This window comes from Homo sapiens, chromosome 20, assembly GCF_000001405.40.
Source record: "Homo sapiens chromosome 20, GRCh38.p14 Primary Assembly".
NCBI classification, from domain to species: Eukaryota; Metazoa; Chordata; class Mammalia; order Primates; family Hominidae; genus Homo; species Homo sapiens.
In genome coordinates this window covers 42960720-42975246 of record NC_000020.11, presented here as the reverse complement: position 1 = coordinate 42975246, position 14527 = coordinate 42960720, and the positions used below count along the sequence as shown (strand labels likewise).

At 40.5% G+C, this 14527-nt stretch overlaps 1 protein-coding gene and 1 long non-coding RNA gene across 7 annotated transcripts in view; one reads left to right on the top strand and one right to left on the bottom strand.

The window, feature by feature from the left end:
• The window catches only part of PTPRT (protein tyrosine phosphatase receptor type T), a 1158017-nt gene that overhangs the window by 214660 nt on the left and 928830 nt on the right, over nt 1-14527 (top strand). The gene's annotated exons all lie outside the window — the stretch shown is intronic.
• PTPRT-AS1 (PTPRT antisense RNA 1) lies at nt 3755-6504 on the bottom strand. The gene is made up of 2 exons (NR_149017.1): nt 5586-6504; nt 3755-4421 (listed from the first exon to the last, which is right to left on the bottom strand). It is a non-coding gene; the product is annotated as a PTPRT antisense RNA 1 (long non-coding RNA).

Here is a 14527-nt window from a genome sequence, read left to right as displayed (position 1 = left end):
TTGTAAAAATAGCTTTGAGTGGCTGCATGATATTCCATTGAGTGGATATTAGATAGTTTTTCATTTCAATTATTTTCAAAGCAATGGAAAACAACATTTTTTTCACATCTGATTTTTTTTAATCTCTTGTCCTTTGTGTCTATATCAGATATTCCACAGATTATTTCCTTGTTCAGAATGTCTATATGTCAGGCTCACGGAGGCAGAGTTATACTTTTATTCAATGTCTGTGATGACTCATGGTTAAATCTATAATGCATTCTAGTTATTTTTTAAAACGTTATGTTGTCTTTAGCTTCCTTGGAAATAGAGATGATGCAGCAGCACTGATGAGAAATCATACTCAAAAAGTGAAGTGACTGGTACATTTCTGATTTGGAACGAATGCTGATGACAAATTAAAAATGACCATTGGGGGTAGTGCTGGAAATAGCTTATAGCTTTTGTTTTAATTTTTGTTAAGGATTGGGATAAGTGGAAGAAATAAGAAGTATGTTTCCTTTTGTGGGTAATGCGAATACAGTCAAAATTGAACAGATTTTTCCTCTTCTCTGTCTCTAGCCGTAGTGGAACTTGTACTAATTTTCTGGAGTTGTTCACCCAGCACTTGCGATTGCTTTTAGCAGATATGATCTCATTTCAGGAGCCTGTGAAGAGGAAAAGGAAATGTGTTCTCACGACTGTGAGTCAGTGTAGAGTGAAAGAAGCTGCAGAGAAGCTCTGTGTGTGTCTGTGGGTGTGGAATTGTATGATTATGTGTGTGTGTGTGTGTGCGCGCGTGCACTGAGGTATGATGCGTTTACAGAGAGAATGAAGTTGGAGAGGAGAGTGGGAAAAATAATGACAAAGTTGAGTGAAACTCCTGCTTAACTTGCTGAAGCAAGTAAATGCAAAGATGTACTCTGGGGCTTAAAAATTTGGGGGTGATGTGGCTTAGCTGTAGTTGGCAAGAAAATATCTAGAGGTTTTGGTTGTTGGGGAGTTCAGATGGGGAATGGTGATCAGAGAAGCTATGCAATTTTCTCAAGACCTTAAAACTGAATTCAAATTATTATCTGTTTAATTGCAAAGTCCCTTCTCATTGCATTGAGCCACGTACACCTGTTCAGCTGGGGTAGCATCTGCTGCTGGTTGGCGGGATATGGGTGGGTGATGGTGGTGTGCTTAACTAAGGGCAAGTGGCTCTTAAGGACACTCTGAACTTTCAAAAATGGCAGCCTGGGATTACCCTGCTTTCATTCTACACACTCTCAGCTGTCTCCCCAAATACTCTGGGAGAGAAATGGGACTGTAGTGCTAGGAATCACCGTCCTGATTAGCATCTCTCTTCTGCATCTGTCAGATGAGGTGGCTCATTACCTGGAAACTATACTCAGTTTTCTGAATAAATGGAGTACTGGTAAAATAACCCCAAACAAAATGTATCCCAATTAATTATTTCCCAGTTATATCCCAACAATTATTTGAGCAGGTGTGTGAGCATACTTTGTCTTCTTCTATTTTATGTTGTCTGAAATTCAAACCAGAAACATACTCTTTGAGGCTTTAGCCGTGTTTTGTTTGGCAAGATAATTATTCCTGTTTGTTTAATAATTCATATTTAAGTACCTGCTATGTGCCAGATACTGTTCCAGGTAGGTGGGACCACTGTGGGAAAAGGGGCTGAGGTCGCTGCACAGAGAGTTTACAGTTTGGAGAAGAGAGAGGCAATGCATTCGTGATTAAATAATTGCAGATAATCTACAGGGAGGAGAACAATGGAGCAATATGATGCACACACACACACACAAACACACACAGAGAGAGAGAGAGGATGGGATAAAGAAGTGGGGTGGAGATTGCAACAGTTCCTCTGGGGAGGTGACATTTGAGCTGACATTTTAGGTCCAAAAGTTAAGAGGGAAGCTGCCACATGAAGACTTGGGGAGGAGCTGGTTATTTTCAAGGTTTTTTTTCCTCCCCAAAACGTACTACTTCCTCAGTCTTTCCCAGATCAAAATGGCACCACCATCCATTTGGTTCTGAAACCACAAATCTAGGTGGTATCCACGATTCCTCATTCTTCCTTTCTCCCTCTCACACTCTTGGCTCCACCCTGAAAGGTATTCTTCTCTCCATCTCTGCTTGCAGCTACCATCTCTCCCCTGGACCACTGTGGTAGCCTCCTGATTAATCTTCCTGCTTGTACTCTCATCTTTCCCCACACCCTTCATGTATTCTTCATGCAGCTGTTCAGGTGTGCTGATCAATAGAGTAGCCACCAGCCACATGTGAATATTTAAATGAAAATTAATTAAAATAGAATAAAATTAAATATCCAGTTTCTGGGTCACACCAGTCAAATTTTAGGTACTCAGTAGCCACACATGGCTAGTGGCTACTGCACCTGACAATGTGGATATAGGACTTCATTGCAGAAAGTTATTTTTGACAACCCTGAGTTAGAGTGATCTTTCCAAAATAGACGCCAGCTCATGGACCTCCCTGCTTAAAACCTCAAATATTTTCATAGCTCACTTTAGAATAAAGCTCAAATTCTTCTTCTTCCTTTTTTTTTTTTTTTTTTTTTTGCTTTTTGAGACGGAGTCTCATTCTGTTGCCCAGGCTGGAGTGCAGGGACACGATCCGTGATCTCAACTCACTGCAACCTCCGCCTGCTGGGTTCAAGTGATTCTCATGCCTCAGCCTCCTGAGTAGCTGGGATCTACAGGTGTGCACCATCACAAGCAGCTAATTTTTGTATTTTTGGTAGAGACGGGGTTTCATCATGTTGGCCAGGCAGGTCTCGAACTCCTTACCTCAAGTTATCTGCTCACCTCGGCCTCCCTAAGTGTTGGCATTACAGGCATGAGCCACCACACCCAGCTTCAAATTCTTTATTCTGACTTGTAGAGCCCCACATCACCTGGCTCCTTCCCACCTGTCTGGCCTTATCTTTGACTTTCTCTTCTCTAGCCATTACTTTCCAACTTCTTGTTTCTAAAACAAATTGATTGTGCACTACTTGGGGCCTTTGTGAAAGTTCACACCTTGGGTTTCCTCTGCATGGAATGCCGTGCCTCCCCTCCCCAAACAAACAAATGGGGTTGGGGAGGGGAGGCATGGCATTCCATGATGATTCCTTGTTGCCATTTAGATTTCACGACAAGTATCACCACCTCTAGGAGGCCTTCTTTGACTACCTACCATTCAGTCACTGTCATATAACCACGTCAGGTTGTCTGTGCACTCTGGCTACTTTCTGATATTTTGCTTATTCGCTTATTGTTAAATTGTCATCCATTGTGTGCCTCAGCCTACTAGTATGTGAGCTTCCAAAAGGCAAAGGCCTTGTCTGTCTGTTCAAGGCTATAATTCCAGTGCCCAGAACAGTGCTTACCTCATAGTAGGTGCTCAATTAACATTTGTTCTAGAAATGAATGAATCATTGTAGGTAAGCAGGACTGCTCTAGCCCATATGGTTCTTTTGTGTGAATCAGAAAAAGTTACCTCGGGTCTAAGTCACCTTGTGTGTTGGCGATCCTGTGCAACGGAGCCTGGTATCCGTGGGTAGGGGAGTTGGGGAATATTTAGGGAATCTTTCTAGGAAGGAGGAATACCAAGAGCAAAGTAGTTGAAGCGAGAATATACTTGATGTGTTTGAAGCAAACAACAACAAAGACTGGTATGTTTGGAGCAGTTTGTGAAGGGGAACACAGAATGAAAAAAAAATGGAAGAAATGGGTGGGGGACAGACCACATGAGGCCTGGAAGGTGATGGTAAAGGAATTGCGTTTTATTCCAAGTAAAGTAGGAAGCTGTTGGAGGATTTTAAACAGGGGAGAGACATCTGATTTCTGATTTATTTATTCTTACAGTTTTATTTCTTTGCCTTTTTGGGTAAGTCTGTTTTAACATTTTTCTCAGGTATATGATTTGGGGAAACTTTTAGTTTGAAGACTAGTTTTCCCAAGGGGTGGGGAACTTGCTTCTCTGAAGACTGAAAAATTCTTCAAACAGCACTTTCAGATACAGCAATTAGTTTCTACATGCACTTTGACTCTTCTTTGAAATGCTTTCTGACATGCATTGCTGATAATTTTGAAGGTTAAAATCTTTGGCTCTCTCCTAAAGGTGACAGAAGTGCAGACTAAAACTAATTAGGAGAAATTTGTAGTAGTTGATTGTGGCCATTTGTTAGGGTTTTGAAATGCAAATAAAAATTGTGCACAGCACTTCTCTTGCAATGGGAACACCTATTCAGCCTGGTGTTTGGTGTTAGAATTCATCTGCCCATGAACATGAAAGTGTGACCTCCACGTGGAAACACATTATGAACACAGCTTGAATCTGTGACTTGCTGTCGTCTCAGTTTCTTCTCTGGAGACCAGAGGAAAAATACATCCAGTTCCTCCAAAGTATTTTACCATATTACCACGTATCTAAGATGCAATAAAGAAAAAGAAGCACCATTAGTTAAGCTGCAGCTTTCTGAGAATAACAATATAAACATTATAAGTACACATCAATGGTAAGAAGAGCCCCAATTTCAGAGAAGTTAAAATGTGAAGCAAAGCATCTATTTATCCATCCTAATCATCTGTCTGTCTGGGAGCAGAGGCTAAGATTGGACTTGCTATATTCCAAATGCTTTAAATACAATCTCATTTAATCCTCATGACGACTGGTGAGGGGGGTGCTAGCATTACCCCCATGTTCTATATAAGGGAACTGAGGCACAGAGAGGTTATGCAACTTGTCAAGGTCGCATAACTATTAAGTGGCTGACCCAGGATTTCAGCACAACCTGTCTAGCTCCAGGGTCTGTATAACCACTGTAGTGTGAGAAAATGTGATAATTTGATACTGGCTGACCATCAGCCAATTAATAGTCGTCTTTGTTTGCTTCTCATTGTAAAAGCGCAAGTCTGGATCCGAATCCTTGACTGGTAGTTACCTAAGACTGATGTTATTGTTGTGTTTGACTCTTGATTTGAAACACAGGTCTATATCCTGAGATTTATATTAATAAAGCATTGTAATTATGATCCGGATACCCTGGGGATTGCCTTGTACCTCGACTAAGAAGGCACATGCTTACTTCTTGCTCAAGAACAAACAGGGACTGAACTGCTGCGCTGGGAGGATGGGGCTGAGACCAGCTAGCAGGGGCATTTGTCAAAGGTAGCAAAGCCCACTGATTAACCGGGCCAGCTCTGGAGCAAGGCTGCCTAGATGTAAACCTTCATCTGCTGCTTTTGAGCTCTGTAACCTCAGGAAAGTTTCCTACCTTTTCTGAGCCTGTTTCCTCATCCATATAATGGGTTTAACAGGTTCTCAATTTCTTGTCTGCAGTCCTTGGGGCCAAATGTGCTCGGATTTAGATTTATTTAACTTTTAAAGGAAAGCAATATAGTAAATGTACCATATTTATTAATAACATCCCTCAGCAGAGGCTGTGGTAGCACCCTTAAATCAAGCATGTTGATATTTTTGTAGCAAAAAGTATGAATATTAATAGTAAGAAGGAGATAGAAAAAACTATTAGTCAATGTATATCACTTTAACTCAAATCTTAGCACCAAATAAGTCTGTACCAAACTTACGAAAAAATGTTTTGGTTTTCAAAGCTTTTGAGGATTCAGAATTCTTAAATCAGGGTTTGTGGATCTGCACCTGCCCCATAGGTTGATTTTATGGCTTACGTGGAGTAACGTCTTTACCTAGCACATTCCATAGTTCATAGTAAAGTGCTCAGTAATGTTATCTGTTATTATTTGTACATGTACGTTCAAATCATCATTGTTGAGCAGAGGCAAGTATAGCTGGCCGAGAGACCGGTGGTACTGGCTGGACTTTGGCTACCTTGTGGGCATAACTGCTGGATTCTGAGGCTCTGATCTGAAGCCCAGAGTACCTGGCTGCTCTTAGAACCCAGGTCCCCCTCTTCTGACTTGCACCAGCATTTTCACTGGGTTTTGGTTGTTCTGGTAAAGAAAGAAGGAAATAAATGAGAAGAATGCCTTTCCATCCTACCCCTAGGTGGATTCATCCTTTCTGCTGAATCTTTTCTTTTTTATGGCTATAAAATGAGGTGAAAATTGAGAACAATCACCAAAAGAGCATTTTCCTTTAGGCAAGTGTACGTGTGACACCCCATTAACGACAAGTGACATCTTCTTCTATCTAGCGGAAATCAACACAATATTCATGTTAACCAGTCATCGCTGGTGCCCGAAGCGGATGATGACTTGTCAGTTTCCATCCTATCAGTCATTTTCAGGCAAACTGTGTGTGTGGATTCCACATGGACACAGTCGAATGTTCACAACACCACTCATTTCTCTCTAAGTGCCTGATGGGTCCTCTACAACTAGAGCAGAGACGCAGGAGGGTCCCACTGGGGCAGATCAGAGGGCTGGAGATCAGAAGGCTTGTGATGACAGAAGGTGGATGGAAGAGGCAGGCAGACCTAGGCCCTGGTGCCCTGGCCTGCCATTCGCTGGCTGTGAGACTTCAGCTGATGTCCACAAGCCTCAGCTTCCTTGTGCATTGAGCTAATAGTAACTCATTACCTCACCAGGTCATTGTGAGGAGTAAATGAATGATGCATATGAAAGTGATTGATCAGCCCGGAAACTCCAGGAAATGCCAGTCTTGTTATGATGCATTTGCCTTCAGTGGACTTTTGATTTGCCCCATGGAGCCCATTTTCATAACTCGCAGCCGTTCCTCTTATGTCCTGGCACCCTTCTGCATTTAAGTCTCTCAGTGAGGTGTCCACTTATTAGTTCATTTGGAACTTTGCCAGTTTGTGTGTTCAACCGTACATCTGTGTCTTCACCTACCCACCTATCCATCTCTCTCTCCACTGGATCCCTGTTGTTTGCCTGGCTAAGATCTGGGATACAAAGATGAATCAGATAAGGATGAATCTTGCCCTAAAGGAGATCATAGGCTAATGGAGAAATGGACAGGTCAACAGATGAGTGGAGTCAGGTGGCCGTTGTTGCTGTAACTCAGGAGTGGGCTATCGACAATGGGATGCCAGAGGAGACAACTCCGCTCTGTTAAGTGTGGCAGTAGAGGTGGAGGGAAGAGCTAAAGGAAGTCCTCAAAAAGGATATGACAGTTGAACATAGACTTGAAAGGGGGAAGGGCTTACCCAGCAAAAGGAATAGCCTGTGACAGCCTTCCATAATCGGGGCTGAATGTGGAGGTCACTTCTGGCCAGGGGAGAGGGGATTTGGGGGAATTTGTCTTGGCAGATATAAGGGATGGGAGGCTAGCTGGGGCCAGGTGGTAGGAATTCACAAGCACAGACCGCGCATTCTCGATTTTATCCTGATGTCCCTCATTGGGTTGCCAGCATTGAGTGAAGTGTAGGGCAAGAACGTATCAGCCTTTGGTTTGAGTTTTGGAATTTCTTCCTGACATCTGGTAGCGGGGGTGGGCTTGGAGAGGGCGAGGCTGAAGGCAGCGAGGGCAATGAGGAGGCTGCTGCGATGGTTTGAATAACAGCCTAGGAGGGAAGGAGGCAGCATGTGGGGGTGGGGGAATACAAATGCCACAAAGGTATTAGGGGGCTGGTGAATGGGGTTGGTCACTGTTTTCGGTTCGTAGGGCTGTAGTAACAAATTACCATCCATTTGGTGGCTTAAAACAACACAAATTTGTTCTCTCACAGTTCTGGGGTCCACAGTCTGAAATCAAGGTGTCAGCAGGGCTGCACTTCCTTGGAGGCTCTAGGGGACAATCAGTTCCTTGTCTCTTCCAACTTCTGGTGGCTGTCAGCGTTCTTTGTGGCCGCATCATTGCCCTCTCTGCCTTGATCTCCACCTGGTCTGGCCTTCTTTTCCACGTGTCTGTGTCTTTTCCTCTTCTGTTTTTTATAAGGACACTCGTTACTGGATTTAGGGCCCACCTTGGTAAACCAGGATGATCTCATCTCAATACCTTAAATAATTAAATTAAATACCTTAAATTAATTACATCTGCTAAGACCCGTTTTCCAAATAAGGTCAGATTCACACGTTCAAGAGATTAGGAGATGGACTTATCTTCTGGGGGCCACCACTCAACCCACTGCAGCTACCAAAGGGATGGAGCAGTTCCTGTTCTCAGGGTGTCTTTAAGTAGCTACAAGAGGAAGGGCTGGGCTCTTGCACAAATGTCACAGCAAACTTGAATAAACTCATCGTCTGCTAAAGAGTCATATCACCTCCCGAGGTGCCTTTCCAAAGTCTGATGAGTAGATAATACCAGACCAAATGCCTCTCTTAAAGAAGTTGTTGTAAAAGCACAACAAATGGAAGTTAAAGTGGAGGAATTCTTTAGAAATAAAGTAGAAATGCAAGTGACTGTTATTTGCGGAGAATCTAATTTTCTCTGACAGTTCCGCAGGTACACTGAAACAATCTCTTAAGGAAAATGTATTTTCTGAAGAAATTTCTCCTTGATTTTTACGAACTTTTCTCTGCCTGATGATCACGTACAATGGAATGAACTACAGCCTTGCTCTATTTTTGTTTTTCCTCCTTGTTTGTGCCCAGCTGCCGTTAATAATGTTGGCAGAACTCTGTTGCGGGGGAAGCAGCACCATTTTGATGTGGTTCACATGTGATTGCTCTTGACACCCAGGTGAAGATGTTCTAAAACCCACCGTCTTGTTCACTGGGTGTATGTTCTCAGAGTTTCTACTATAAGTTGGGCGGTACCTTCTGTTGCAGATGCAGCGACCAAACAGACACAGGCCTGCTTCTGACTTTTGGTCTCTGGGGGAAATGGATGGGCAAGCGGCTGTGACAGCTCGTGTGACATAGTGTATTGAGATCTATAATAAGAGAGCAGGAGGGACTGAGGGAACACAGAGGAAAGAGGGATTTCTACAAAAATAGACATAGAAATAACCGATAAGTTTATGAAATATTACCAGCCTCGTTAAACATCAGGCATGCTAATTAAGGTAAGCTACTAGGCAAGATAAAATAAAAATGGTATAATACCCAGTGTTGGCAAGCATGTTAGAAAATAGTTTCATATACTGGTGTGGGATTTTAAATTGTGCAAGCTTTCTGGACGCCAATTTGACGAAAGGTTCAAACGACCCGAAAAGGCAAATCAATTCAGATGTCACTTCCTTTCTCTGGTATTCCCAAGCTTCTCATTTCCCCCAACTCCTCTTGGCTATTCCATCATGGTTCTTACCGTGTGGAACTAGAATGACCTATCTGGGTAGTTTTCTACCCCACTGGACTGAGACCATAGCTTCTGTCTTCTCCGGTGTTTAGTGACACACTTTTCTGCACCTTCTAGCTTTGTAATGTCTTTAAGATTAAATGCTCATTGAATATTACTGTTGTTGTAGAATTTTCCTAGCTATTCCTTGAATGTTTGTTTTTATGCATCAAATTTAGGATTGCTTTTTCAGGATCCCTTCTCCACTGTCCCCAAAGAAAATTAAATGGGGGTATCGTTTGGGATTTCTTAAATGTATAGATGAATTGAAAGAAAATCAACATCAGTGCCATGTTAAGTTTTTCCATCTGTGAGCTTTGTGTGCCTCTATTTGTTGAAGTTTTATGGCTCTCAGTTAAGTTCAGTAATATTTTTGCAAGTACTGAATCTTTCTGGTTAAGATTATTGGGGACTTTTTTAAACGGTGATATGCTGGAATCAGCCTGGTACCTGCTCATAAGAGCTATTAAATTTTCAGAATTTCCATGAGGTGTTTGTTAAACACAGGCATTCTTAAACTTAAGTTATAGAAACCTACAACTATATACACTATATGTAAAAACAAAGGTTATCTTCAAAACTCATGACTCCCTAATTATTTTACTACGGTTTATTATCTACACTCTTGAGGTTATTCATGTCTATTGTATATCTGTAAGTTGGAAACACTGTATAATAGTATCTTATTGTATATCTGCCTTCAGTGGTAACATGTTGGTCTTTTGAAGTAGGTCATCGTGGCATTATTTAAGCCACAGAGAGCAGCAAATACTATAAATCCGGGCTTTCTTTCCCAGAGGACCTGTTGTGAACATTTGCAATCACACCTCTGTTTATATATGAGTATTTATAGCATTTTGGGTTTGTGTGTGTTTATGGAATAGGATGTCTTCTTCCCTGGCGTTATCTTTCCAAATTTGTTGGTGGGGTTATATGAAAAAGCAGTGAGTTTACTTATTTACTTTTATGCTGGGTATCTTACTGAACTTGTTTATAAATTACAATAATTTTTCTGTTGATAACCTTGGATTTAGTAGGTAGAGAATCACTTTAAAATAATAATTGAACTATTTTACTAAGAATGTAAATCAAGAATGGATATTCTAATCAAATACAGTTTGGCATCTATTGATATATGATTTTTAACTTAAAATATGTTCCTCTTTGGATTAAACCTATTAATTGATTTATGAATGCTGAAATATCCTTGTTTTGTTCAAACTTTAGCCTCATGGTCAGATAATACAACATAAAAACATTTAAAAATTATCTGGTGATGGTTCTTTGTGGCCTTATTGTTATTTTAATCATCACCGAAAAAATACTCAAAGCACAGGAAAAATAATTAATTCCATGTAGGGAGAGAGGTTTGATATATGTCTTTAAATCAATATTACTAATTATATTAGTCATGACTTCCTTATTTAAATTTTTCCTTTTTGATCTGTCAGGACTTAAAGAGAGTTGTATTAAATTCTCAAACTATTACTGTATTTTGTTGATTTCTGGGTTTCTAACAGTTTCCTTTCTATATCTCAATGCATTGCTACCTGCTACAGAAAAGGTCATGATAGTTGATATATTTCTTTGTGAATTATACCTTTTATCAATGTAGAATAGCTTTTTTGGTATTGTTCAATGACTTGTCTTTGAATTTTACTTTGATATGGATATTGGTACATCTGCATTTTTTTTCTATTGACATTTTCCTATTAAATCCACCCATGCTTTCAATTTAACCTCTTGGCAATCTAATTGCTTAAGATCACATCTTATGGAAAATATTTCGATACACTTGATTTTTGACTCAGTCTGTGAGACAATTTCTTTTGCTAGAGAAGTTGAGGCAATTTATACTAATATGATAACTATATTGTGTCTGAATTTTATCTCACTTAATGCTTTCTATTTCTTATGCTTGTTTTTAAATTTGACTTCCTCCCTAACTCCCTACAGGCAGTAGGTTGCAGGGGCTGGCAACCTACTGCCTGTTTTTGACAGCACACAGGTTAGGAATGGTGGATTTACATTTCTAAAGGGTTACAAAACAAAACAAAGAACAGGCAGCAGCAATAACTGGATGTAGCCCGAAAGCCTGAACTATTTGCTGTTTGGCCCTTAGAGAGCTTGCTGATTCTGTGGTGGGTGATTAGGTTTTCTATTATATTCTGCTTTTGGTTTTACTCTTGGATACGTTTAGCTGCCTTAAGTATGTATCTAAATTTAATTTTTCCTAAAACTTATTTTTAATTGTCTTCAGAATACAAAGTATTTTATTGGCTTTCCCCTGTGCAGGGTAGGGTGGGTAGCATAGTTTGACCTACCCTTATATAAGCCTTACTCATTTTCTCAGTTGTTAATGGTAAGTATGGGATTTTTATTCGTGTTTCTAATTTAATAATTATTATTTAAAGTTATGTCTCTATCTTTTACAAAGAACTATTTATAGCATTTATATTCTTTCTATAACTGTATATACATCAATTTTTAAGAAAATTTCATATTTAATTTGCTTGGGCACTCACGACCAACTTTTAAAAATGTAACTACTCATTTTTTATTTTTTAAAAATGACCCCATTTGGTTAGGTTGTTTTTATTTTTTTATTTTTTATTTTTATTTTTATATATTTATTTATTTCTTTTTTGAGACCAAATCTAGAATCTGGGTCTGTCGCCCAGGCTGGAGTGCAGTGGTGCGATCTCGGCTTACTGCCTCCTGGGTTCAAGCGATTATCCTGCCTCAGTCTCCCGAGTATCTGGAATTACAGGTGCTTGCTACCACATCTGGTTAATTTTTGTACTGTTTTTATTTTTATTTTTATTTTTTTTTGAGACGGAGTCTTGCTCTGTCACCCAGGCTGGAGCGCAGTGGTGCGATCTAAGCTCACTGCAAGCTTCACCTCCCGGGTTCACGCCATTCTCCTGCTCAGCCTCCCGAGTAGCTGGAACTACAGGTGCCTGCCACCATGCCCGGCTAATTTTTTTGTATTTTTTAATAGAGACGGGGTTTCACCATGTTAGCCAGGATGGTCTCGATCTTCTGACCTCGTGATCCACCCGCCTCAGCCTCCCAAAGTGCTGGGATTACAGGTGTGAGCCACCGTGCCCAGCTTGTACTGTTTTTAGTAGAGACTGGGTTTCACCATGTTGGCCAGGCTGGTCTTGAACTCCTGACTTCAAGTGATCCGCCCACCTAGCCTCCCAAAGTGTTGGGAGTACAGGCGTGAGCCACCGCGCCTGGCCTGGTTAGGCATTTCTTTTAGTATTTGGCAGAGGGAGGAGGTAAATGGTGGTGGTAGTGTTTCTGTACATCCTTTCTGAGTCCTTTTACATTTGTAAATACTTTTCTGCTTCTTCCATAAATGAACAGAGTGCTTTAAATCCTGCAGATATTTAATCATTAGCGTTTTCAGCCCAGTATTGTAAAGAAATCTGAGATCAGTCATTTACTTATATAAATGTTTATCCATGTAAATGTCTTGTTTTTTCTTTTTGTATGCTTGGAAAAATGTTATTCAGGATGTTTAGGACATTCAGTGTAGCTTATTTTTAAATCTGTTCTAAAGGTTTTTTTTTTGTAATTTAGGTATTCTTTTCATCCCTATAACATATCTCTTTTGTCTTTCATATTTCTAATTTACTCCTGGTCATTTTATTATTGGGAGCTTTCTGTCTGCACTGGTACCTGTAACAACAGGCTTACCCAGTATGCTAAAGTTTCAGTGCTCTTTGAACTCTCTATGGAAATTCTGCATTTATTATGTTGTTCAACATTAATGCCTCAACTAATGATAGGAAGATATCAACCCTATAAACTAGGCAGAAGGTGTAGGAGCTGAGAGTTAATTTTGCATTCTCTACTCTTCTTTTGGATACATTACCTGTATTAGTTTCCTACTGCTGCTGTAACAAGTTAACACAAATTTAGTGGCTTAAACCGACACAGATCTGTTCTCTTACAGCTCTGGAGGTCAGAAGTCTAAACTCAGCAGGGTGACAGCAGGACTGCATTCCTTCTGGAGGCTGTAGGGGAGAATCTGTTTCCTTGCCTTTTTCAGCTTCTAGAGGCCACCTGCATTCCTGGGCTCATGGCCTTGCGTCATTCCAGTCTCTGCTTCCATCAGTACGCCTCCTTCTCTGACCCTCCCGCCCCGCTCCTTCACTTATAAGGACGTTTGTGATTACATTGGGCCTCACTGGATAATCCAGCCTCCTCTCATCACTCAAGATCCTTAGCTTCATTACATCTGCAGAGTCCCTTTTGCTGTGTGAGGTAGCATATACACAGGTTCTGGGGATTAGAATGTGGACACTTATTTTTAGGGGCCCATCATTCAACTGACCACAGTACCCCTCCCTGGAGAGTGTGGGGGCCCCCTCCCACATGCTCTTCCTTTAGAAGGCAGTTGAGTTGGTTTCTTTTCCTCTCCCCTGCCCTAAAGGAGTGCACACCCCACATCTTTGCTCATTTCTGTGAAGCGTCTGTGATGTGGAATAACATTGTGTTAACCTTTTCCTCTGTTCGAGGACACTCATTCTACTTCCTTCCAGTGAAATGTAGCTATAATCTTTCTTTTTAAGGACTTACTTCCTATTTTCCTTATTGAACCAGCACGCAATTGTGCATAATAACTAAAATATCCAACATCTCTGAGTAAGGGTATCACAATATGGAGGTCTGCTTGGAATGAGGGATAAAAGAAGGTTTTATGTTTTTGGAGCACCAACAGGCACCATAGCAATCTTTATCACCACCTTCTTTTCTTCTTCATTTATGGAAAGTTGTACACAGTGCTGCTTCTGTATTCCACAGTTCTGTGCTCCTTACAGCATTAAAATCTTCTTATCAACAATTGGATTTCAAACAGGCTTTTCTTTATTTTAATTACCTACCTTCATTTTTTTTCTAGCTTTTAAAACCAGATCTCTTTTTATCTGTTTATCTCATTTTTTTAAAAAAAGAATTGTTTTTCATGGAAACCAGGTTTTCTTGAATTTATGAACACAAAACAGATAGTCTGAAATTTAATGGCGTTTCATACAATAAATCATCTTAGAAAAATATACATTTTCTGCATACTTCATTCTTATTTAATTTACAAAATATCTTCCTAGGCCCCATATTGGTTATAGTTTTTCATTCTTAGTGATTTACAAATGGGAACAGCTATACCTGTCTGGGTATATTCTCCCAACATAGGGAAATGAATCATTTAGGGTGCTTCTTACTCTCTGCTCTGGTGCTGTTTATGACATCGTTGTATCACTCTGGCAGCTGCTGCTTGTATTACCTGCTGGTTGTTTAGCAA